Here is a 24591-nt window from a genome sequence, read left to right as displayed (position 1 = left end):
GGCCGGTTTGTTGTGGTCGCCATTTTGCTGGTTGCATTACTGGGTAATCGGGGCCCTGGCTTGCCGCGTCCGCCGGATACCCTCAGCCAGTGGGCAGGTCTGAGCTCGGGCTCCCCGAGCAGTTTGAGTCCCCTTGCCCGCTCCTTCAGGTAACGGCGCGGGGACGGGTGGGGCGGCAAGCGGTCGCAGGGAGGTGGGCAGGACGGGATCCGCCCTGCTCCCGTCGCCGTGAGACTTAGCACGAGGCCAAGGGAGGAGAGGAGGGGGGTGGCAGGCAGGTGCGGGCCCTGCCTGGCTATTCATAGTTGAATTCCTGGAACCGGCCAAGCCCGAGGAAGCAGTTGCAGGAGGGAGGCTGGGAGGGGGTAGCCGGGCCCCACTCCCGCCCTTTGTTTGGGCTCAGCTCCGCGGGCCGCTTCTTCGTCGCCTAGCAACAGCTGCCCTAGGCTGTGATTGGCTGAGCTCTTGGCACCAGCGACCAATGGTACAGTTGTTGCCATGGCAGGTGCCGATTGCCAAGCTCAGTCGGGCCCCGCCTTCCGGTCTCAGCAGGCCCAGGAGGGCCTCCTGGGTGGGGGGCGGGACGCCGGGTCCCTAGGGGCTGGTGGTCACTCAGGGTGGGGCGTGTCGCCCCTCCCCCGTCCACCTGCTCTACTCTTCCCCCGCGTGCCCTGGGCTGACCCTTGTCCCCTCCTCTCCCCGCCCCCGGTGGCAGTGGCGGCTGCTGTTGTCACCCACCGGGCCTCCTGTCCCGCTTGCCCTCCCCGCCGCGGGGCCGGCCGGGCCAGAGACAGGCGGTCGCCTTTTCAGCGCCGCCACCGCCGCCATGCTGGCCGCTCGCCCACCCCACTGGGGGCCCCACCGCGCCCCAGCCCCCCGTGGGCCCCGCGCCAGCCCTGACCCGGGTAGGGGGTGGGGGCTGGGAGAGATGATCCTGGTGTGGGAGGGCCCCGGAGAAGAGGTGGTTTTTTGGGGGAAGCTCCAAGGGTGGAGGAGTCGTGGAGTGGCAAGGCATGGAATAGGAGAAAGGGATTTGACATGGGGGAGAGAGTGGCCCATGGGGAGAAGATTTTTGCTGTAGCTGACAACTCTGGGAGGAGAGAACCCTATGTGATAACTTGGGGATTTGACTTTGAGGCCCTCTAGGAGTGGACACAGTTGTGGAATGACCCTGGTATAAAGAGGGGTGCCTGGAGAAAGGTCTGTGGTAGGAATATTAGGGTGTGTGTGTGTGTGTAGGGGGGCAAGGAAGCAGTGTAGGGGAGAAAAGGATGATCACTCTAAACTGTGGGAAGAGACACCTCCTCCTTCTCCCATCAGGAGGAGTGGGCCTTGATTGGGATGGGATATTGGAGTAATATGGGGAAGAACCCTGTTGTGGTAGGGGGAATTGGGATATGGTACAGGGAGACTACCTGGAAGGCTGGTTCCTAATATGGAGGACCTGAAATAGGGAAGCGGTCTTGGCATGATATGGAGAGGGTCCCCTAGGAAAATCGTGCCCTGGTGGATGAGAATGCTGTAGAGATAGGACTCTGTTCTATAGAGGTTCTCAGATAACTTTGGTGTGGTTGGGAGGTCCCCAAGGACGCTGATGTGGTTTTAGGGCTGCAGAGGACTCTGCTGTGGTTTGGGAGGGGAAGACTCATGTGGTTTGGGAATCCTAGAGTTCTCTGGGTTGAGGGAATCTACTGAGAAGGATAGATCTTAAAGTATTGGCCCTGGCTGTGCTACGGGCTGAGATCCTGATGTTCAGGGAAGACTACAGAAAGTGGCATCTTGTGTTAGGGGCCCTGGGGAGGGCCACGAGTAGTGAGAAAAGAATGAAGCCTACTCCTCTGCATACTGTCTGTGGTTTCTTTTTTCTTTTCCTCCTCTGAATTATTGGTGTCTTCCTGTCCTCCTTTCCCTGTGATGGCTCATATCGACCCCTGCTTGGCCCCCAATCATTGTCTTTTATGTGTTCTCTTTGTGCTGCCTTAATCATTTACTTGATCATTATTTGTCGAGGGACTGCTGTGCCATCCCCCCCCACCTGGCTACCACTTCTCTGCCCCTTCTCTTCATTGCTATCTGCTGCTCCGTTGTGCCCTTTTCCTCTTCTCTCTGTGCCCTGTCTTTCTCATGTCCACTCTTCCCCGCCTGGCACTATTCACATATCCCCTTGTTCCATGTTGTTTTCCCACTTCCTGTCTGCTCTCAGGTCTCAGCGGCGGTGGCAGCCGAGGTGCAGGATGCAAGAAGGCGCCCCCCGGCCGGGCTCCCGCTCCAGGCCTCGCTCCCCTGCGGCCCTCTGAGCCCACCATGGCCGTCCCACCGGGCCATGGTCCCTTCTCTGGCTTCCCAGGGCCCCAGGAGCACACGCAGGTACGCGTTCAGCTGGCTCCTCACCTGCGTGGTGGTAGGGGGAGGCTGGGGATAGAAAGGTCTCCAGACCAAAAGGTAGTGTGGTTGCCCAAGACATTCTTCTGGGCACATAATGGGTCCCATGGGATTGGAAAATAACAGAGGAGTTTTCAGGCAGAGTCAGGGTTTGGAGAGGCTGGGTTCAAATCCTGACCCAGTGGTTAAATTCCTTAGGTTCTCCATACTTGAGTTGGAGAACTCAACTCATTCTGTGAAATGGGGCCAATAATGATACCTACTTCACAGGGTTGTTGTGAGGATTAAATGAGTTAATGGTATGCATGTAAAACACTTAGAATGGTGCCTGGCACATAGTAAATACCCAATAAATGCTACTAAGAAAAGTTCAGAGTGAAAGATCTGGATTGGGTGAATTTGGAGGGGGGTTGAGTCTAAAGGGTCTTGAGGCCAACAGGCATGGGTGGTGAGGGCAAAGCTCTCCCAAGGCTAGAGGCAGTGAAGGCAGTGACATGCAGAGCTTGAAGCAGGATGAAGTGGGAGGTCCAGGGGCCAGATCCAGATCCAAGAGCCTTGGGGTGAAAGAACTGTGCAAAGAGTTGGTGGGAGTATGGGTTGAGGCCCAAGGGATGAGGGTAAATTGAGATAGAGGTACTTCAGAGGGTACCCAAAATGGCTGGCTTCAAAGTGAAGAATGGGGAGGAACAGAGCCCAGGTTTTCCATATGATCTCTCCCTCTGAGGTTCAGAAAGGAGTAAAGGTGAGGGGTGAAAGGTCAGAGTTCACTCATTCACACCACAGATCTCTAAGAGCATCCATTGTGTGCCAGGCCCTGCTGTAGGCACTGGAGGTATAGTAAGAACAAGAGAAAGTCTCAGCCCTGGGGGAGTTTCTTTCCTAGACAGGTGGAACAAATACAGACAGCAACCAAATACATGATGTGCCAGCAGCCCTTACAGTTCTTCCTCTTGAGGTCGGAGGTGAAGGCACGTCCTCAGTGCCCACCCCTCACCCTGCCCTGCAGGTATTGCCTGATGTGCGGCTACTGCCTCGGAGGCTGCCCCTGGCCTTCCGGGATGCAACCTCAGCCCCGCTGCGTAAGCTCTCTGTGGACCTCATCAAGACCTACAAGCACATCAATGAGGTGGGCAGGGGCTGGGGGATCCTGGGCTGGGTGCCGAGGGTCTTGTCTGCTGGCATGAGTCACTCACCAGTCCCCATCTCCTGGCTGGCTGGCTGGGCAGGTATACTATGCGAAGAAGAAGCGGCGGGCCCAGCAGGCGCCACCCCAGGATTCGAGCAACAAGAAGGAGAAGAAGGTCCTGAACCATGGTTATGATGACGACAACCATGACTACATCGTGCGCAGTGGCGAGCGCTGGCTGGAGCGCTACGAAATTGACTCGCTCATTGGCAAAGGCTCCTTTGGCCAGGTGTGGGACACCCCCCACCACCCTGATCCAAGGCCCCACTAACATTGATCACACACCCAGTGGTTCAGTGGCTTCAAGTCCCATGCTGGGCCACTCACCCTAGCCCACTTAGTTTCCCTGTGCCTCAGTCGCCTTTTCTGTAAAACAGTTTAAATAACAAGACTCAACATAAGGTCGTTATGTTATTTCACATCCAGTGTTTACACCAGCGCCTGACTAATGGTGCGCACTCAGCTGCGAAGTATGCATAGTGTTCTTGGTGGGTCTCCTTGCCTGGAGGGAGAAGAATGGTGCCTGGCTCTGCCCTGCTCCCACCCCTTTCTTCGTGACATGCCCTGCCCCAACAGGTGGTGAAAGCCTATGATCATCAGACCCAGGAGCTTGTGGCCATCAAGATCATCAAGAACAAAAAGGCTTTCCTGAACCAGGCCCAGATTGAGCTGCGGCTGCTGGAGCTGATGAACCAGCATGACACGGAGATGAAGTACTATATAGGTGAGGCCTGGGACTGGCAGGGCTGTGGGCACCTGGGATAGCGGGAGCTGGAGCCAGTAGGGATGGGTCACACCCCCGCCCTACTCTCAGGAGGAGGCTGATGTCTTCAGAGCAGGGTTTGGTCTGTGCTTCTCTGACATCAGTGATTCTCCTGCTGCTTTTATGATTTTTGTCCTATTTTCTTGGTAATGGTCAGAGGTTACTGAGTGCTCACCAAGGGCCAGGCTCTCTTGGAAGCACTTGGAAGTTAACTCACCACAGCCCATAAGGGGAAGGGCATTATTAACAACATCTTGAAGATAAGAAACCTGGGCTTCCATCCTAGTTTCTTCTTCAATAAAACAAACAAAACGGGCTGGGCACAGTGGCTCACGCCTGTAATCCCAGCACTTTTGGAGGCCGAGGTGGGCGGATCATGATATCAAGAGATCGAGACCATCCTGGCCAACATGGTGAAACCCCGTCTCTACTAAAAATGTGAAAAAATTAGCTTGATGTGGTGGTGCGCGCCTGTAGTCCCAGCTACTCAGGAGGCTGAGGCAGGAGAATCGCTTGAACCTGGGAGGCGGAGGTTACAGTGAGCTGGGACCACGCCACTGCACTCCAGCCTGATGACAGAGCGAGACTCCATCTCAAAAAAAAAAAAACCCAAAACAAACAAAAAACCAAACCTAATAACAACAACAACAGTTACAACAACAACAAAAAAAAACGAAGAAAGGAAAAAAGAAACTCAGGCATTCAAGTGCTGTCACTTGCATGAGGTGGCAGTTTGTACTAATTGAGCTATAATTTGATGAGGTCGTGGACTCCAGAGCTGTTACTCTTAACATCTGTGCCAGTCTTTCTCCTCCCTTAAACTGATTCCTGCTCATGGACATAAACATCACAACATAATCATAAACAGCAAGTGGATTTTAAAATGGTTTCGTTTGAAAGGAAAACGTATATCCTTAAAGTAAACGGAAAACCAGTGTCCTTTGCCACAAAAATGAATACAAGGGAGATGAAAGCAGTGTTATGAAATTAAATGAGGAAGTGTAGAATGTGTTAGAGCTAGTAGTAACTAATGAAACTTTCTCTTTGGTTTAATTGGAGGGTTTGACAGAGACTTGGAAAGAGCATTAACTTCCTGTGTGAATCTAGTTGTTAGATAAAAAGATTTTGACTAGCAGATGGTACCCGTGGGGACAGCACAATGTGGCTAGTAATCAAAGAGCGTTGTATGACCCCAGGCCACCACCTGCCCTCTCTGAGCCGTTTCTTCTCTGGCCCATTTCCTCCCCTCCCCCGCAGTACACCTGAAGCGGCACTTCATGTTCCGGAACCACCTGTGCCTGGTATTTGAGCTGCTGTCCTACAACCTGTACGACCTCCTGCGCAACACCCACTTCCGCGGCGTCTCGCTGAACCTGACCCGGAAGCTGGCGCAGCAGCTCTGCACGGCACTGCTCTTTCTGGCCACGCCTGAGCTCAGCATCATTCACTGCGACCTCAAGCCCGAAAACATCTTGCTGTGCAACCCCAAGCGCAGCGCCATCAAGATTGTGGACTTCGGCAGCTCCTGCCAGCTTGGCCAGAGGGTAGGGGGCGGCCCGGTCCTGGGAGCACGGCTAGTAGTTTGGGTGGGGCAGAGCCAACGGGAGGCTTAGGGGCGGGGCTTGGCTGGGATGGGATTATTAGGAGCCGTGGGAACTGAGGGATAATGCTTGGGGTGGGGGTGTGAATATACTGCCCACTAGGATGGGAAGGGTGAAGCCTGAGGGGCAGGGCCCATTTTGAAGCTGCCAGATGTGAACAGGGTGAAGTTGGGTTGGGTTTGAGCCAGGGGTGCTGCCTCGCTAAGTTTTTGTCTTCTCTGTTCTTAAAGCTGAGGATGGAGGTGGAAGGCTTCAACTTTGCAGCTCTGTATGAGCTGCCACTAAAAGTGACGATGGTATAGGGCTTATGGAATGTCAGCCTCTGCCTGGTGACCCAGAAGGGCCCAGGATCCGGGTTGGGGGTGGAGATCAGGGTCTGTCTAGGCCAGCAGACTCCCCAGATTGATAAACAAGATGGCACCAGTGGCTCCCAGAAAATTGGTGCTGATAATGGCAGGATTTGGAGCCTCAGTCCCCATTTTGTCAGCAAGAAGCCTGTCCTCAGTTGGGTCCTCTTAGCTTTGGGGGTGTCAGTGGGACCAGTAGGGGAGGCTGGGTCCCTTGACGATTACCCTTTTCCCAGATCTACCAGTATATCCAGAGCCGCTTCTACCGCTCACCTGAGGTGCTCCTGGGCACACCCTACGACCTGGCCATTGACATGTGGTCCCTGGGCTGCATCCTTGTGGAGATGCACACCGGAGAGCCCCTCTTCAGTGGCTCCAATGAGGTGTGCCCCCAGGAAGGGGTGTGCTGGAGGTGGAGGGGGTGGAGCCTGGCTGGCCTGATGACCTTGACCCCTGCCTGCTCACAGGTCGACCAGATGAACCGCATTGTGGAGGTGCTGGGCATCCCACCGGCCGCCATGCTGGACCAGGCGCCCAAGGCTCGCAAGTACTTTGAACGGCTGCCTGGGGGTGGCTGGACCCTACGAAGGACGAAAGAACTCAGGAAGGTGCGGCCCCTGCCCCATGCCACTCCTCCCACCCCGTGGCCCCTCACTCACACTTGGGGCTCTCTCCCCCTGCTCCCTCTCCCTTGTGTCTTTCCCTTCCTTCCACTCCCCCTTGTCTGTCCTTTCCTTCCTCCCCTGCCCACCCCATCTCCCATCTCTCCTTCCCACCCCACAACTCTTCTTAGCTTTTCTTTCCACTTTCTCTCTTGTGCCTCTGTTTCCCCGTGTGTGTCTCCCTGCCCCTCCTGCCCACTGACGGCCACTCTCTTGCCCCCCCTCCCACCCCCTCCCTGCCAGGATTACCAGGGCCCCGGGACACGGCGGCTGCAGGAGGTGCTGGGCGTGCAGACGGGCGGGCCCGGGGGCCGGCGGGCGGGGGAGCCGGGCCACAGCCCCGCCGACTACCTCCGCTTCCAGGACCTGGTGCTGCGCATGCTGGAGTATGAGCCCGCCGCCCGCATCAGCCCCCTGGGGGCTCTGCAGCACGGCTTCTTCCGCCGCACGGCCGACGAGGCCACCAACACGGGCCCGGCAGGCAGCAGTGCCTCCACCTCGCCCGCGCCCCTCGACACCTGCCCCTCTTCCAGCACCGCCAGCTCCATCTCCAGTTCTGGTGGGTGCCCAGGTGCCCAAATGGGGTACAACGGGTGGGGGCTGCTCAGGTTTGGCCTGTCCTGGGGGACCTGGTTACTGGGTCTTCACACAAAGCGCCGAAACTGATCCTGAACTGTAAGATGACGTGTGGGATGGGAGAGCTCCAACTGGCCCTGACACAATCACTGAAATTGGGCTCAGAGCCCTGAAACTGGTTCTGACTCTAAAACCCAAAACTGAATTCCAACCCAGAATCTCAGAATTGGGCCCGGTGCTTCAGATGGGCTCTGCTCTTGAAGCCTGAACCTGAGCCTGGGCCGTGACCTTCCCTCAGCCATCCCAAAACCCACTCGCCACCTTCTCTCACCTTATGCCCCTTCACCTCTCCTCCCTGGCACTTCCAGGAGGCTCCAGTGGCTCCTCCAGTGACAACCGGACCTACCGCTACAGCAACCGATATTGTGGGGGCCCTGGGCCCCCTATCACAGACTGTGAGATGAACAGCCCCCAGGTAATGGGGCTTTGGGGGCTTTGGAGGTGGGTGGTGGTGCCTGGGGCTTAGAGACCAGGGTCTCCATCACCCATGGCTCCTTTGCTTTTTTAGGTCCCACCCTCCCAGCCGCTGCGGCCCTGGGCAGGGGGTGATGTGCCCCACAAGACACATCAAGCCCCTGCCTCTGCCTCGTCACTGCCTGGGACCGGGGCCCAGTTACCCCCCCAGCCCCGATACCTTGGTCGTCCCCCATCACCAACCTCACCACCACCCCCGGAGCTGATGGATGTGAGCCTGGTGGGCGGCCCTGCTGACTGCTCCCCACCTCACCCAGCGCCTGCCCCCCAGCACCCGGCTGCCTCAGCCCTCCGGACTCGGATGACTGGAGGTCGTCCACCCCTCCCGCCTCCTGATGACCCTGCCACTCTGGGGCCTCACCTGGGCCTCCGTGGTGTACCCCAGAGCACAGCAGCCAGCTCGTGACCCTGCCCCCTCCCTGGGGCCCCTCCTGAAGCCATACCCTCCCCCATCTGGGGGCCCTGGGCTCCCATCCTCATCTCTCTCCTTGACTGGAATTGCTGCTACCCAGCTGGGGTGGGTGAGGCCTGCACTGATTGGGGCCTGGGGCAGGGGGGTCAAGGAGAGGGTTTTGGCCGCTCCCTCCCCACTAAGGACTGGACCCTTGGGCCCCTCTCCCCCTTTTTTTCTATTTATTGTACCAAAGACAGTGGTGGTCCGGTGGAGGGAAGACCCCCCCTCACCCCAGGACCCTAGGAGGGGGTGGGGGCAGGTAGGGGGAGATGGCCTTGCTCCTCCTCGCTGTACCCCCAGTAAAGAGCTTTCTCACATGCCTGCCTGAGCGTTTGCAGGGCCTCGGCTCCCCTCACCCGACCCTCAGAGGCATGGTGGGGAAGGGGGTTTGCGGAGGGGGTGCTGGAGGAGCTCTGGTGTGGAGACGTCTCGTGGGGAAGCTGTGGCGCGTGTTGCAGGCATGAGTCTGCAGGTCTGGGGCATCAGCATTCTAGATAGATCGTGGACAGGATCCTGGCCTACATTTGCCTTTTCCTGGGTAAATAGACCCTGAAAGGGTAAAGGTTCAGCTCTGGCCTGTCTCTGGGAAACAGGTGCCCTAATAAGCCGGGGCGTCCGCAGACTTAGCACAAGAGTGGCTCCTCATGCCAAGCAGGCGTCCAGTAGCAGCTGAGTACACTTAGGAGGCTTTGTTGGTGCCATCTGGGGAACAGGCAGACAATAGGTACAGACTCTGTCCCCACGTGTACTGTCCAGCTCTTTGGAATCATCGCGAAACAAAGAGTTTTGAGATTCTGAGACAAAAAGATTTTCCCGGGGTTCCAGGTAAGTGGTCCTGTTTCCACGGTAATTTGGAAATGTACGTCTCCCAACCGGCCAATCAAGAGCCCAGTTCAAAGGGTACCGTCTGCCACCACTGGGGCTCGGCGCTTTGTGGGAAATGAAGTTCTACTTAGCAATCGCTTTCTGCGGTGTTCGTTGGGGAACTACAGCAACCAGAGTTCTTTTCTCTCAGGCTTGGGGGCGGGTTTTCAGGCAGCCAATGAGCAGTCTGAGGTCCCGGGGCCTGGATGTTCATGGTGTTTAGGAGAGGGAGAGAAGGCTGTGACTGGGTGGCTTTGGCGCAGGTGTTGAGGTCTCCGAGGTGTGCAGAAGGTGGGTGCGGCGCCGTCCCGGGAGAGAGTGCCGGTTGTCGCTCACAGTTCCAGAGCGGGCAGTAGACGCCGAGGCCTGAAGAGGCCCCAGCACGCGGACATCACTGGCCGCTGTGCCTGGCCCGGCTTGCGGGAAGCCCCGCTCAGTGGGAGAGACAGGCAAGACCCCGTTGCGGACCTATGTATGTTCACTAATGGAGGCGGCATGGAACGCGGTGGGAACCCGAGGAGACCTTGGTAGGAAGATCATCCCGGAAGACTAGGAGCTGTCTGAGCTGAGACCTGAAGACGGAAGGATGTTTTGGGGGTCGGGGGCGGTGTGGTGGAATGGTTTGCGCAAAGGCAGAGAGAAACAGCCTGTTGTGTGAACATGGACTGCAGGCGATCTGGTGTTGGTGATCATACTGAAAATTCTGTATGAATGAGATGTGGAAGATTTTCTTGATCATTTAGGGACCTTGGATTTTGTCCTGAGAGCAATGAAGAGCCATGGGAGGATTTTTAGTAGGGAAGGGGTACGGCCCAGTTTGCTGTGACATGAGAATAGATTAACGGGAAAGTGACTGGGGTCAGGAAACCCAGGGTGGCAGATGTGACAGATTCCTAGGCAAGAGGTGTTGGGAATGGATCAGGGCAGGGGCCACCGTAGGGAGGGCAAGAGGGGATGGGAGAGACGTCCAGAAGGTTGACAGGCTGTGTGGGAGGGGGAGGCGGAGAGGAGTGGAGAAGGGATATCTCCAGCGCGTAGAGCAGATGCTCAGTGGCTAATGTCTTGAATGAACAATCCTAGGAGGCAGGTGCTGATGTGATCTCCCATTTGTAAATGATACCTAGGACAGAAAAGTTTAGGTAACTTGACCATTATCAATACCTAGGAAGGGGAGGGCCCAGGATGTGTGTGTGTGTGTGTGTGTGTGTGTGTGTGTGTGTGTGCGCGCGTACCATTAACTTACCAAGGAGACATCAGCAGGGCCAGATCACGTAGGTCTTGTGAGGAATTTGGGAGAGGCATGGAAATGTATATGTCACTTTTTTTTTTTTTTTTTTTTTTTAGACGGAGTCTCACTCTGTCTCCAGGCTGTAGTGCAGTGGCGTGATCTCGGCTCACTGCAACCTCCGCCTCCCGGGTTCAAGCAATTCTCCTGCCTCAGCCTCCCGAGTAGCTGGGACTACAGGCACACGCCACCATGCCCAGCTAATTTTTGTATTTTTAGTGGAGACTGGATTTCACCATGTTGGCCAGGATGGTCTTGATCTCTTGACCTTGTGATCTGCCTGCCTCGGCCTCCCATTATGTGTCACATTTCTATGTCCATCCCAGAATCTCTCCCCTGAGCTCCTGACTGGCTGCCTTCCTCATAACCTGTTGGTAATCTAGAGGTATCTCCAGAGTAATTTTGATCAAATTGAGCTCCTGCTCCTTTCCCCAAAATTTTTTCCCTGCATGTTCATCTCAGTAAATGCTCCCCCCATCCTCTCCAGGCCCAAACCACTGGAATTGTCCTTTACTCCTCTTTCTGTCTTATATTCATGTCTGTCAGCTAATATACCTGACCACTTCTCCCCACCTTCACTCCTGTCCACCCTTATCTCCTTCACAGACCATTATGGCAGGCTCCTCAGTGATCTCTCTGCTCTCACCCCTGCCCCCAGAGTGTTCCTTACATGCAGCTGGAGGGATGCTGTGAGCACCTGTATCAGGTCATATCCCTCCCCCGCTCAGAACACTTCCAAGGCTACATCTTGCTCGGGGTAAAACCCAGAGTCCTCTGCAAGGCCCTGCATTGTCTGCCCTCATCACCTCTCTGACATCATCTACTCTTCTTACTCCCTGTGCTCCAGCCACACTGGCCCGAGGGCCTTTGTGCTTGCTCTTTTCTTTGCCTAAAGAACTCATCTATCAAATAGCCCAGACTTGTTCCTTCCTCTTTAGGTCTCTCCTGAGATGTCACTGCCTTCCTGAGATCTTCCCTCACCACCCTTCTAAATTTGTGACTTATAGTCACATCTATCTTTGCTTCTTTAACTTTATCCTTAGCATTAATCATATTACTGTTTAACACTCTGTAGAATTTATCTGTGTTTATGGTCTGTCTCCCCTGACCCTTACCTCTAGGAGACTGTTGACTTCATCAGGGAAGGGGCTTTTGTCTACTTCCTCCGTTATCTCCAACACATAGAAAAGTGCTTGGCACACAGTTAGGGCTCAGTAACTACTTATCAAATAAACTATTGAAGAGCACATATCTGGATCCCAGCATGGCGGGGACTCTGCCGATCCCCTTTCTACAGAACTCCAAGGAGCTGCCTTAAAGTTTTCTGAGGGCTCAAGATATTCAACAAGTATTTCACCTTGCCTCTTCTTTCTCCTCAGCATTGGGAACACAGAAGAGAACAAAATATTCCCCTACCCCTATAGAACCTACAGTAATAGGGACAGTAATTTAGACTATCAAATAATCACACGTGTGAAATTACCAAGAAAGGTAGAGAGTGTTATAAGAATACTTGATAGGAAATCAAATCCGGATCCTAGGAAATGAGGTTTGAGGTGATGAAGGAGTAGGCATTAACTCCTTTAAGAGATAAGAGTTTGGGATGGTTGGAGCCTAGAGGCTGATGCAGAGCAAGAGGTCAGACCTTGTGTATGCCATAAGGAGTTTGGGTGTTTACCCCACATGTAGTGGGAAGTTGTAGAATTTTAAGCTGGGGACAGGAGCGTGGTCAGGTGTTTGTGTGTGTGTGTATGTGTGTGTGTGTGTTTCCTTCTAAAATTCTTCACACTAAAGTGTACTTTAAAAGACTCCTCTGGCTTCTGTGTGGGGAATTGACTATAAGGCATTAAGGATTAAAGTAGGGAGACCAGTGACAAGGCTGTTACTGTGGAATTAAAATAGCTGTGATTGAAGACAGCCACACATTCTTTGCTGTTTTTCCTATCAAGAGGTGGAGTCTCCTTCCTTCTCCTTATATCTGAGCTGGCCCTGAGATTTGTTTTGACCAATAGAATACAATGAAAGCAGGCTGGGTGCGGTGGCTCATGCCTGTAATCCCAGCACTTTGGGAGGCTGAGGCAGGTGAATCACTTGAGGAAAGGAGTTCGAGACCAGCCTGACCAACATGGAGAAACCCTATCTCTACTAAAAATACAAAAAAAAAAAAAAAAATAGCCAGGTGTGGTGCACTCCTGTAGTCCCACCTACTCTGGAGGCTGAGGCAGGAGAATCACTTGAACCCGGGAGGTGGAGGTTGCAGTGAACCAAGATCATACCACTGCACTCCAGCCTGGGTGACAGAGTGAGACTCTTTCTCAAAAAAAAAAAAAAAAAAATACAATGAAGATGATGCTGTACTAAATGGAGGCCTAGGCTTTAAGAGACCTGGCAGATTCTGCTTCTACTCTTGGAGCCCTGCCCTTTCTATAGATCTGCCCCAGCCCGCGGCTGTTCCAACTTTTAGCTGATGTGCAGGCGTGCAAGTGATGCCATCTTGGGATGGCCTAACTCCCATTCCAGTTGACACCATGTGGAGTAGGAATGAACCATCTCAAATCCCCTGACCCTTTGAGCCTTGTCCAAATTGCAGAATCATGAGCAAAGAAATGGTTGCTATTTTATGCCCCTGTGGCTTAGGATGCTTTGTTACACAGCAATAGCTAACTGAAACAAGCTAATATTTTTTTAAGATCTTACCATTTTATGTATTAGCTCATTTAATCCTCAGTCACCGTATGTGGTACTACTACTGTTCCCATTTTACAAACGAGGAAATGAAGGCACACAGAAGCTAATAAAGTACTAGTAAAGCGCCTGGCACAAAGCACTGAATATGTGATAGCTATTATTATCAGCATCATGTTCATCAGCATTACAATTTTCACAATTGTTGAAGAAGTGGCGGTCAGATGAATAAACACATTAGTAACCCACTTCCACTTCTTTTTCTTCTTCTTCTTCTTCTTTTTTTTTGTTTTTAAACAGGGCCTGACTCTGTCACCCTGGCTGGAGTCACTGCAGCCTAGACCTCTTGGGCTCAGGTGATCCTCCTGCCTCAGTCTCCTGAGTACTTGGGACCACAAGCATGCACCACCACACCTGGCTAATTTTTGTATTTTTTGTAGAGATGGGGTTTCACCATGTTTCCTAGAGTGCTCTCGAACTCCTGGGCTCAAGTGATCCACCAACCTTGGCCTCCCAAAGTGCTGAGATTACAGGCGTGAGCCACTGCGTCCAGCCAACCCACTTCTTAGTGATGTGATTTTAGCCATTTTCTTGGAAGGACTAGTAGAGAGATGGAAAGACATCGAGTCTTTGGTGATGTTGTTGAAGTGCTGGATCAGGCCTCACTTGGAGTGAGTTACCTCTAGACTTTCTCATTAGGGAATTCAACATATCTCTATCGTTTAAGCCAACTATATTGTTGAATTGAGTTTTCTATTACTTAGAATCAACAATATCCTAACTGATTCCAGGGTTTTCTTATTTGTTGAGTCATCAGATCTGGCTATTTACTACATGCCAAGCATTTTTAGGTGCTGGTATTATTAATAGTAGCAAACAAGACCCCCGAAAGCCCTGTCCTCCTGGAGCCTGCATTCCAGTGGGCAAGATGAATGCTAATATTAGTGAACAGAGCTGTAGAAGTTGAGGGTTGGAAGACTAGAGAGTGGGAAGAGGTGCTATTTTAGATAGAGGGGTTAAAGAAGACCTCTTTGAGAAAAACGTTAATGGACCTCACAGAAAGGGAGGACACCAGCTGGCTGTATGTATATTCTGGGAAGAAGGACATTCCAGGTAGAAAAAACCAGCAAATTCAAAGGCCCCGAGGCATGCTTGGTGTGCTGGAGGAGCAGAAAGGAGTGAACTGGACCTGACTGGACACAGTGGGAGGGAAGGAGACCAAGGCAAGGTCAGGTGGGACCGGGAGGCCATGGGAAGGACTTGAATTTGAAGCTGATGAGATGTGTGGCAGGGAGAGCATGGTGAGCTGAGGCGATGTGATCTACCACGGTAAGAGGGTTCCTCTGGCTCCCATGTGGCTACTAGGGTGGAAGCAGGATGCCAGTGAGGAGGCCACTGTGCAGTCCAGCTGAGATGATAGTGGCTTGGCCAGGGTGCTAACGGGGCGGTGGGGAGATGTGGTCAGATTTTGCATATAATTTGAAGGGAGAATCAGGTATGTAGGGTAAGAAAGAAGAGTCAAGGACCACACTATGGCGTTTAGTCTGCACAGAGGAAGGAGGGAGTGCCATTAACTGTATGGACAAGACTGAGAGAGAGTGTGGGCGTGTTTAGCCTCTGACTGGACCCACTGGCCAAACAGGAGCTTATACAAGACTGGCATTGAAGGGTGAGATCTGGGCTGGGAGTAGTTGGCATATTTATGGTATTAAAGCCCAGGATGGGATCACTAAGGGAGGGTGTATAGATGGAAGTGTGGGCTGAGAATGAGAGCAGGGAGGCCCGTGAGGAGGTTGCTGCAATAATCTAGGTGAGATGACAGTGGCCTGTACCAGGGCAGGGGCAGAATGAGTAGTCATTGGAGTCTGGGTGCATTTTGAAGGCAGAACTCACTGTGATTGGTTGTGGGTAGTGATGGAAAGAACCTGACAAGGGCTTCATGAGAACAGAATAGAAGCAGAAGTGAGACAGTGGTGTGACATTCCTCCTTTCCACTGGGCCCTGTGGTCTCTGCTTCTCTTTGCATTGGCTGCTTCCTGTTCTCAGGCAGCTGGGTTGGTCCTGGGTGGACTCTTGCCCCCACTCTATGTGATCTTCCAGCTCAGTTACCCGCAGCCCCTCAGTCTTCATTCCGAATTTCCCAGATAGGAATGGGATTTCCAGGGTCGGGTATCCAACCCTGCTCAACTCACTGGAGCTGGAGGGTTCCTATAGTGATGACTGTCTGCTCAGAAGGGCTGTGGACTGGGCAGGCCCCCCAAACATTCACAGTCACCATGTGTTTCTGACACTTGGTGTACAGGGCGGACATGTGGGTGGGCAGGTGTGGCAGGGGTTGGAGATGATTTGACCCTCTTTTGGCTGATGGGTGAGACAGACCATTTATATTGCCTCAGATGTGTCCTGGATTGAGCAAACAGGAAAGGGGATACCAGGAAGGTGGATCTGGCAGGCCTTGGGCTGTGAAGCGTTAAGGGTCAGTTGGGAGGATTCAGGCGCAGCTTCTGCCTGTTCATGGGTATTCCCAGAGGAGTCAGGGAGACACGCATTACTCTCAACTCAAGAGAGACACAGCAATGGCTGAGACACAGCAATGGCTGAGACAGCCTCCACCTTGCCCTCGCAAAGCTCACAGTCCAGTGGGGAAGACAACCCCAACGGCAGACAGTGACCAGGGCTGGGATGGGGAGGCAGAGGGGTTGGGGCCAGGATAGGGGAGCCACAGGGGGACTGTGGGAGCCAGAGGCAGCTCCTGACCCAGTCTGTGGTGTCAGGTGGGACTTCCTGGCGTGGGGAGCATGTAAGATGAGATCTGAAGGATGAGTCAAACAAAGCGTGCTTTGGAACTCCGCGGGGGACCACCTCGAGCCATATTGCAGAGGAGACTTAAAGTTTTGTGAACGTTTTAAAATTTAATAATTTTAGATTTACAGACAAGTTGCAAAGATGATACAGGGACTTCCCTATACCTACACCCAACTTCCACCTAGTGTTAGCATCTTACATAATTATTGTATATTTGTCAAAACTGAGAAATTAACATGGATTAATATTCTGTTAAACTCCAGACTTGAATCCTATTTCTCCTGTTTTTCCATTAATGTCCTTTTTCTGTTCCAGGATCCAATCCAGGATACCATGTTGCATTTGTTGGTCATTTCTCGTTGGCCTCCTCCAATCTGTGACAATTTCTCAGTCCTTCCTTGTTTTTCATGACCTTGACAGTTCTGAGGAGTACTGGTGAGATGTTTTTGTAGAATGGCCCTCAGTCTGAGGTTGTCTGACATTTTGCTCGTGGTTAGACTGGGATTTTAGGCTTTGGGAAGAATGCTCACTGAGGTGAGGTTAACCTGATCACTTCATGAAAGTGGTGTCTGCAGATTTCCCAACGATAATACCACTATTTTCCCTTTACTCATTTGTTAGAAGCAAGTCACTAAATCCAGCCCACACTCAGAGGAGAGCTAAGCCTGATTCCTGGAGGGAAATAGGGAGATACTTGGAGGCTGCACAAATATCCCATTTCTCCTTCAAGTTTACCCACACATTTTAGCATTCATCAGTGGACCCGGTCTGTAGCAGTTATTACCGTGATATTATAATGATGACTTTCTGTTTCCCTCATTTCTTTACATTTACTATTTAGAATTCCATATGGAAGATTTGTCCCTTCTATCATACTTCACTTATTTTATTTATACAATCATTAGTTTATTTCCGTGTGGACTCATGAATATTTATTAGTTGGGCATACCCCAACATTATTGTAATCAATTTTTTTTTTGCTCAAGTTGTTTTAGCCTTGGCCATCAGCGTTTATCTTTCAGGTTGGCTCCTGTGTTCTTTACTCTTTTTTTTTTCTCCAACACCTTCTTACTTTCTGGCACTGCAAGATATTCCAGGCTCATGTATTCTCCCTGCACCAGCCCTAGAATTAGCTCTTCCTCTAGAGTCACTGGTTCTTTTCATTGGAGAATGGTGTGTAAAAATAAGCATGAGTTCATACTGATACTCTGACACTAGTCTAGTACCAGAGGGTTCATTCTCACCATCCCCCCCTTGCTTTCTTTATAACTCCTTCCTCTGCCAGTGAGAAGCCTGGCTCAGTGGGCTCTTTTTGGTGCTCATCTTATTGGTCATCTTGGCAAAAATCGGCTGTGGTGACCCTGCCTGCCTTCTGTGAGCACACCCTCCCCTTAGTTTCTGTGAGTCTGCTATCCCCTGACATTTCCTCTACGTTTTGCTTCCTTGCGGGCTCCTCTGTTTTCACCAGTCTGTTAAATGTGGTGGGGCTATGTTCTCTCTTCTCACCTTGGGGCCACCTTACCCTCTTTCATGGTCTGTTTCCTATCTCTGTGCAGATGACACACTCTGTCCTTAGCCCTGACCTCTACTCTGAGCCCTAGACCTGGAGGATCCGGAGGCCTCATGGACAATCCCCCAATCCCAACTGGGCAATCCTTGGGCCCTTAACACTCACCATGTCCCAGATTCCAAACATGCTCTCTCAGCCTTTGTCTCAGGGGTGGCCCCTCCAGGCTCCAGGTTCTCAGAGGGAGCCATGGGCCTCATTCTGAATGCCTCCCTCCCATCCCTGCCCCCCGTCCAGCCCATCAGCTTCCAGGGCTTGTCCTCTGGGACTGCTGGACATCTCTCACATCTTCTCCCTTCTCCCATTTTCCACTCTGCCTTGGTCCAACCCGGTCCTCTCCCACCTTGTCTCTGCCTGTCCTCCTCCCTGGGCTCTTGGCCTCCCATCTCACCATTTAACGCAATTAAACCTGTTGTAGGGGGAAAAGTAAACAGGAAAATAAATCACATTATGTGTCAGCTTAAGATGAAAACAACTTTCAGGAATCACTTTATTACTTTAAAAAATCTACAGCAGTAGGAAGAAAACTGAGGCTCATTTCTCTTTACACTAGGGTTGTCACACCAGAGTGAAATTTTAAGGATCACTTGTAAGCTTCCTTTTGAGTCACATTGATTAAGAGAATCTTCTATATTAATTATCACAATTATCCTTATAAACATGACTTACAAGGTATCTAAAAAATGTCTCACAAGCATTTAGAACAACTGAATTGTATAAAAGGATTTTGTATGTGCAAGAGGGAAGTTAACTAGATTATTAATACTGGCATTGGGAGAATTCTTCCACTCTGATATCAGTGGCTGTTGGCACAGTGAGTTCAGTAAAGAGACTATTAGTGGGCTGGGAACGGTGGCTCATGCCTGTAATCCTAGCACTTTGGGAGGCCGAGGCAGGCGGATTGCTTGAGCTCAGGAGTTTGAGACCAGCCTGGGCAACATGGTGAAACCCCGTCTCTACTAAAATACAAAAGAAATTAGCCGGGCATGGTGGCGTGCACCTGTAGTCCCAGCTACTCAGGAGGCTGAGGCAGGAGAATTGCTTGAACTCGGGAGGTCAAGGTTGTAGTGAGCCGAGATCGCACCACTGCACTCCAGCACTCCAGCCTGGGTGACAGCAAGACTCTGTCTCTACAAAAAAAAAAAAAAAAAAAAAAGAAAGAGAGACTATTAGCGGATGTGCTTTGGGACATTTTGCAGTTCTAAGCCTGGCTAGCATAGGCTTTCACAGTAACTGCCCACATTTGTATGGTGCCTTCTTCATGCCAGGCACTCTTCTAAACCCCCAGCTTGCATACATCCAGTAATCCTCACATACCCCTTAGGAGGTAGCTACTGTTATTATCCCAGGTTTTCAGTGAGGCATTTAGAGTTTAAATCAGTTACTTCAGGTTCCATAGCTAGTAAGTGCCTGCAACAGGATTTGAACCTAGGAGTCTCAGTTCTATCATGTGTGCCTTTAACCACCTTCCTCCTTGACTCTATTCTGAAAGGAGAAACTCATATTTCTGATCTTACAGTTTCTTCCTTTGGAAGAGGGGCTTAAATTGCTTTCTTTTCCAGCGACTAGAAACCTTTCAACATCACCAATTATTTGTAAAGAAAAACATTTTTAAAATGCTGGGCACCATGACTCATTCCTGGAATCCCAGCACTTTGGGAGGTCAGGGCAGAAGGATTGCTTGGGGTCAGGAGTTAAGACTGGCCTGGGCAGCATAGTGAGACCCCTTTCTCTACAATAACTAAAAAAATTGCTGGGCATGGTGGTGCAAGCCTGTTGTCCCAGCTACTTGGGAGGCTGAGGCAGGAGGATCGCTTAAGCCCAGGAGGTTGAAGCTGCAGTGAACTAGGCAGTGATCGTGCCACTGCACTCCAGCCTGGGTGACAGAGCAAGACTCTATCTCTAAAAAGAAGAAGAAAAAGTAAAACACTTTTAACTTATTTTAAGGGAAAATTTCAAACATACATAAGAGCATAGAGAAGAGGCTGATGAACTCCTACGTTCTCATCACTAGCTTCTGCAGTTACCAGCATATGGCCACTGTTGCTTAATCCATACCTTGCACATCTTTTTCTGCTGCTCAGATTTATTTATTTATTTATTTATTTATTTATTTATTTATAGACAGAGTCTCACACTGTTGCCCGGGCTGGAGTGCAATGGCACGATTTCTGCTCACTGCAACCTCCGCCTCCCAGGTTCACACAATTCTCCTGCCTCCTGAGTAGCTGGGATTACAGGCGCACACCACCACACCTGGCTAATTTTTTTGTATTTTTAGTAGAGACAGTTTCACTATGTTGGCCAGACTAGTCTTGAACTCCTGACCTCATGATCCGCCTGCCTCAGCCTCCCAAAGTGCTGGGATTACAGTTGTGAGCCACCGTGCCCGGCCTCAGTTATTTTTAAAGCAAATCTAGATATGTTTTGTTAAGGGATTTTTAAATTTTCCTAAAAAAAGATAACCTGCAATTTCTTGCCCCAAGTCATTCCCTACTGACAAATTGCCCATCTTCCTGATTCTCTGATCCCCTCCTTTCTCCTCATTTTCCAAATTCAGACAAGTCTGTGCATGGGGTGATATCACCGCACCAGCTCTGTCCCTGGCTCATTTTCTGTAACCCTATACTCCAGGCGTTTCTCCACATTTCTCTGAAGCCTGAAAACGATCCTTCTTAATGACCATGAATGGGCTGGAGTTGCTTGGCAATCCTGTCCTCTGCAATAGGACATTTAATCTGCTTGTGGCCTTTCGCCATGGTGGTGGCCTCTTCCCTTATTTGGGTTATTTTTCTGGATCCCTTTCCACTCAAATCGGGTCAGACCTTCCCTGACACTCCTTGTACACTGCAAATTCACATTAAGCATATTATGTTTCACATAGTCCAAATGAAACAGTGATTTGGCTACTCATTTATTAACTGTCTGGGAGTTCCAGCAGGGTCAGAATCAGGTCTGTCTGTACCGTCGGTGAGTCCTCAACATCACCCAGCACAGGGCCTGGCACTCAGTAGGTGCTCAGTAACCATGCGCTGAATGAATGAGTAAATGAAGGAGTGAATGAATGATTGCCAACCTCAATAGCTGGACATTTATCATGAGGGCAGTAGGAAGCCACAGAAGTATTTTAGGCAGAACTGGACCCATTTCTCTCAAACTCTGATGTGCATCTGGGATTTTGAATGTAGATTCCGCTTCGGTGGGTTGAGGAAGGGGCCTGAGATTCTGCATTTCAAGCTCCCAAATGATGCCAAGGCTTTGAGTAGCAAAGGTGTTGCCCTGCTCTTCAGTACAGTACAGGAGCCACTGGCCACATGTGGCTCCTGGGCACTTGAAATGTGGCTCGTGTGACTTGAGATATATTTTAAGCATAAATACCCACCAGAGTTAAAGACTTGGTACAAAAAAAATGTTTTATATTGATCACATACTGATATGGTAATATTTTGGATATATTGAGTTAAATAAAATATATTATTAAAATTACAATTAATTTTATGGTTTTTTTAATTGGGCTATTAGAAAATGTTTAATTAGCTTTGCAGCTCACATGTATGGCTCGTGTTACTCTTCTGTTGGATCATGCTGGTCTAGAACACTCCCGACTCCCTGTCACCTGTGGGCATTTGTACGTGCTTCTCCCTCTTTTTGGAGCACCCTTCTTTCACCCACCTCCCCACAACTAATTCCATACACTGTTCAGGTCTCAGTAAAGGTGTCTCCTTTAGGAAGCCCCCTTGGTCCCCCAGGGTGGGTGGGGGGCCCGTTCTGAGCTTCCACAGCTCCTGGGGTTTCTCCCATCCCAGCCTTGACCCATCTGTCTGCCTCTCCCCTGTCCCACCTTGACCAGCTGTGATGTCAGCATCTCTGCGTCTGTCTCATCTTTGGACAATAAATCCATGAGCATGGGGGCAGAGTCTATCTTGGTTGCCACATTATCTGCAGAGCCTGGCACACAGTCAGTGAATATACTGCATTAATAAATGACACGTGAGATGTGGGTCGTGCACATTTCACAACTGGACTGTGAAGCCAGCCTCAGAGGCCTCATTTTGATGGCCCAGCCACCAGCACAGCATCTCCTGCTGCTTCGACTCCTGCTGGGCGTGCAGTAGCCATGCCATGGATCACATCTGCCTTCTGTAGAATTGCTCTGCCCACCTGTCTCTGAGCTACCCTGTAGCTCCTCTCAGGATTTGCCCTTTACCAATGGCACATTCCTGAACGGGGGCTTGGTCTTTTCTTTGTTAAGTTATATCAGTTTTGGGTACAACATAGATTGTGATAAAGAGATTTTTTTTTTCTCCAGAGATTTCTTTTATTTAAATTGCATAGAAACATTGCTTTAAATAAAGTAATTTTAAAAATAGTCTGTCGGTCTTTTCCTTTGAGATTCTTTGGTTGCTTCAGTAGTTTTGTAATTGACATGAAAAGATGTTCCAACTCATCCCTAATCAGAGCAAGACAAAGATCAGGAAACTGAAATCCACTTCCTCTCCTTCCAGCTTGCTTGTTCAAGTACCACCTCTGCTTCCAGCGCAACCTCCAGGCCACGTTCCCACACTCTCCCTGTCCATCATGGCTCTCCTTTTTCCATCCCACCCTGCCCACTGTCCCCTACCAATTATAGATTCATCATTACAGTCACCCTCTAAATTCCCTTCCTCCTCAATCGTTTGGTCCCAGCCATCTGACTAAAAGCCAGCCCCTAATTATATGGAACATCTAAAGAAAAAAAGGCCACACTAAAATTCTGTTTCACAGCCTCAAATTGACAAAAGTTAAGATGGCTGTAGGTGAGGATGGGGATTCACAGGACATCTCATATGTTGCTGATGGGAGTTCAAATTAGTACAACCCTCTGGGAAGTAGTTTGTTGTTATTTTGAAAAACTGAACCAAATTGAAAATCTGAATCCCATATGCTTGGCACTCCTAGGTCCTTACCCAAGAAGAGATATTTGACCACATGCATCGATTGAGATGTTAAAGTTCATAGTATCTCTTCTCAGCCTTTGGCTAAGATCAAGTATACAAAGTTCATCTGTCAACTTTTGTATGCTTTTGTAAAGCATTTATCTGATAGCAAAAAGAAACACATCTGATGTCCATTTAAAGGAGAATTGATAAATTTTAGTATATCTCACATGACGGACAATTACACAGCAGTGAAAATGAAGGAACAACAGATGTACAAGAAAAAGATGAATTTAGGCTGGGCATGGTGGCTCCTGCTTGTAATCCCAGCACTTTGGGAGGCTGAGACGGGAGGATTGCTTGAGGCCAGAAGTTCAAGACCAGCCTGGGGAACATGGTGAAACCCTATTTCTACAAAAAATGCAAAAATTAGCTGGGCTCAGTGGCGTGTGCTTGTAGCTCCAACTACTCGGGAGGCTGAAGTGGGAGGGTCGCTTGAGGCCTGGAGGTCGAGGATGCAGTGAGCTATGATCCTGGACACTGCACTCCAGCCTGGGCAAGAGGGTGAGAGTCTGTCTCAAAAAAAAAAAAAAAAGAAAAAAAAAAAAGAATTACAGAAACATAATGTGAATAAAACAAAAGACTCCATATAGGATGATACTATTTATAAAGCTCAAAGCCAAGCAAAAGGAAACATTTTTAAGCATACAAAAATATGTGATAAAACTGTATCTTAAAATCACAAGGGATGAGGGAAACTTTTGGGATTTATTGCATTTTATACTTAAAGTGGATATATTTTATTGCATGTAAATTATATCTCAATAAAGTTGAATCACAAAAAGAGAGAGAGGCTAGAGCAGACTCCCTGTTCTGTCCCTGGAAATGCCGTGTAAGCGGGTGATGCCGGGGCGGTGGCCACCATCTGGTGATGCAGGTGTCATGCTGAAGATGGCAGTGCAGAAAAGACAAAGGACCTAAGTTCTTGATAATGTCACTGAACCACCTAAGGGACTTTGCTTTCTTCTATGCTATATCTCCAGATCCTGGAACAGTGCCTGACAATGGGTTGGTACTCATGTATTTTTAAATAAAATTTTTACTGAAGTAGAACTAAAATGTTTGAATAGATAAATTAATGAATTTAACAACCCTGGAACCCACCTCTGCTTTTCTTGCTATGTGAAACAATGCAGTTCCTTTTTTGTTCAGCCCCTTTTGGTTTTTTTTTTTTTTTTTAGACGGAGTTTTGCTCTTGTTGCCCAGGCTGGAGTGCAGTGGCATGATCTTGGCTCACTGCAACCTCTGCCTCCTGGGTTCAAGCGATTCTCCTACCTCAGCCTCACGAGCAGCTGGGATTATAGGCATGCAACACCATGCCTGGCTAACTTTTTGTATTTTTTTTTTAAGTAGAGATGGGGTTTCCTCACGTTGGCCAGGCTGGTCTTGAACTCCGGACCTCAGGTGATCCACCCGCCTCGGCCTCCCAGAGTGTTGGGTTACAGGTGTGAGCCACTGCACTGCTGATTTGGGGCCATTTAGCTGCAGTCAAACACATGTTAACTAGTGATCCACATGATACACACGTTAAAACTAACATTTTAGGAGGCACCTACTATGCATCAGGACCTGCGTTGCAGGCTTTAACTGCATGAATCCTTACAACATCCCTGCGAGGTTGGTTCCAGGTCCCCCATTTTACCGAGTGGGCTCTAAAAGAGACCACAGATTATCATGCTTGGTCTTGCCATCCATTGGAAGCCTTCTGTGCCCAGACACACTGCTGTTTCCACCCATCACTTTTAAGAGATTTCCAACATTGCAGTCATACATTTAAGATCAGGAGAAAGTTGTCGATATTTACAGAAGCTGTTGGAGGCAGCCCACGGTTTAAGTTATCTACTGCTACACCAAATTTTGCTGTTGAAAACAACTTAATTATTATCACTCATGGTTCTCCAGGT

The 24591-nt window shown here is 50.3% G+C and overlaps 1 protein-coding gene and 1 non-coding gene across 8 annotated transcripts, besides 5 other annotated features; both read left to right on the top strand.

Annotated features, from left to right (window-relative positions):
• On the top strand, positions 10-8822 carry DYRK1B (dual specificity tyrosine phosphorylation regulated kinase 1B). 7 transcript variants are annotated; one of them, NM_006484.3, is made up of 12 exons: positions 10-149; positions 2204-2367; positions 3389-3508; positions 3609-3797; positions 4145-4292; positions 5589-5875; positions 6516-6662; positions 6747-6887; positions 7185-7220; positions 7305-7500; positions 7886-7992; positions 8086-8822. In NM_006484.3, exons 2-12 carry the CDS (start codon positions 2305-2307, stop codon positions 8455-8457), a joined length of 1806 nt encoding a protein of 601 aa, NP_006475.1. In that variant the 5' UTR covers positions 10-149; positions 2204-2304; the 3' UTR covers positions 8458-8822. The 7 variants fall into 7 exon arrangements, with proteins under 7 accessions (NP_006475.1, NP_006474.1, NP_004705.1 ...); XM_047439668.1 differs by lacking the exon at positions 10-149 and adding an exon at positions 524-905; NM_006483.3 differs by lacking the exon at positions 7185-7220.
• Positions 198-307: a silencer, noted in NCBI's record as "silent region_10614". NCBI's record gives its function as "represses an Ori minimal core promoter by ATAC-STARR-seq in GM12878 lymphoblastoid cells {active_cell/tissue: GM12878}" and the evidence as "EXISTENCE:reporter gene assay evidence [ECO:0000049][PMID:35858748]".
• Positions 568-837: a silencer, noted in NCBI's record as "silent region_10613". NCBI's record gives its function as "represses an Ori minimal core promoter by ATAC-STARR-seq in GM12878 lymphoblastoid cells {active_cell/tissue: GM12878}" and the evidence as "EXISTENCE:reporter gene assay evidence [ECO:0000049][PMID:35858748]".
• MIR6719 (microRNA 6719) lies at positions 4370-4456 on the top strand. Its single transcript, NR_106777.1, has one exon. It is a non-coding gene; the product is annotated as a microRNA 6719 (primary transcript).
• Positions 8373-9357: an enhancer, noted in NCBI's record as "H3K27ac-H3K4me1 hESC enhancer chr19:40315455-40316439 (GRCh37/hg19 assembly coordinates)". NCBI's record gives its function as "activates a minimal SCP1, AML or CMV promoter by ChIP-STARR-seq in primed H9 embryonic stem cells {active_cell/tissue: H9 hESC(primed)}" and the evidence as "EXISTENCE:reporter gene assay evidence [ECO:0000049][PMID:30033119]".
• Positions 9358-10344: an enhancer, noted in NCBI's record as "H3K27ac-H3K4me1 hESC enhancer chr19:40314468-40315454 (GRCh37/hg19 assembly coordinates)". NCBI's record gives its function as "activates a minimal SCP1, AML or CMV promoter by ChIP-STARR-seq in primed H9 embryonic stem cells {active_cell/tissue: H9 hESC(primed)}" and the evidence as "EXISTENCE:reporter gene assay evidence [ECO:0000049][PMID:30033119]".
• Positions 9500-9889: an enhancer, noted in NCBI's record as "active region_14631". NCBI's record gives its function as "activates an Ori minimal core promoter by ATAC-STARR-seq in GM12878 lymphoblastoid cells {active_cell/tissue: GM12878}" and the evidence as "EXISTENCE:reporter gene assay evidence [ECO:0000049][PMID:35858748]".

The sequence above is a fragment of the Homo sapiens genome, chromosome 19, assembly GCF_000001405.40.
Source record: "Homo sapiens chromosome 19, GRCh38.p14 Primary Assembly".
Taxonomy (NCBI): domain Eukaryota; kingdom Metazoa; phylum Chordata; class Mammalia; order Primates; family Hominidae; genus Homo; species Homo sapiens.
The sequence above is the reverse complement of the archived record's forward strand: the minus strand, read 5'-3'. Positions and strand labels throughout refer to the sequence as shown.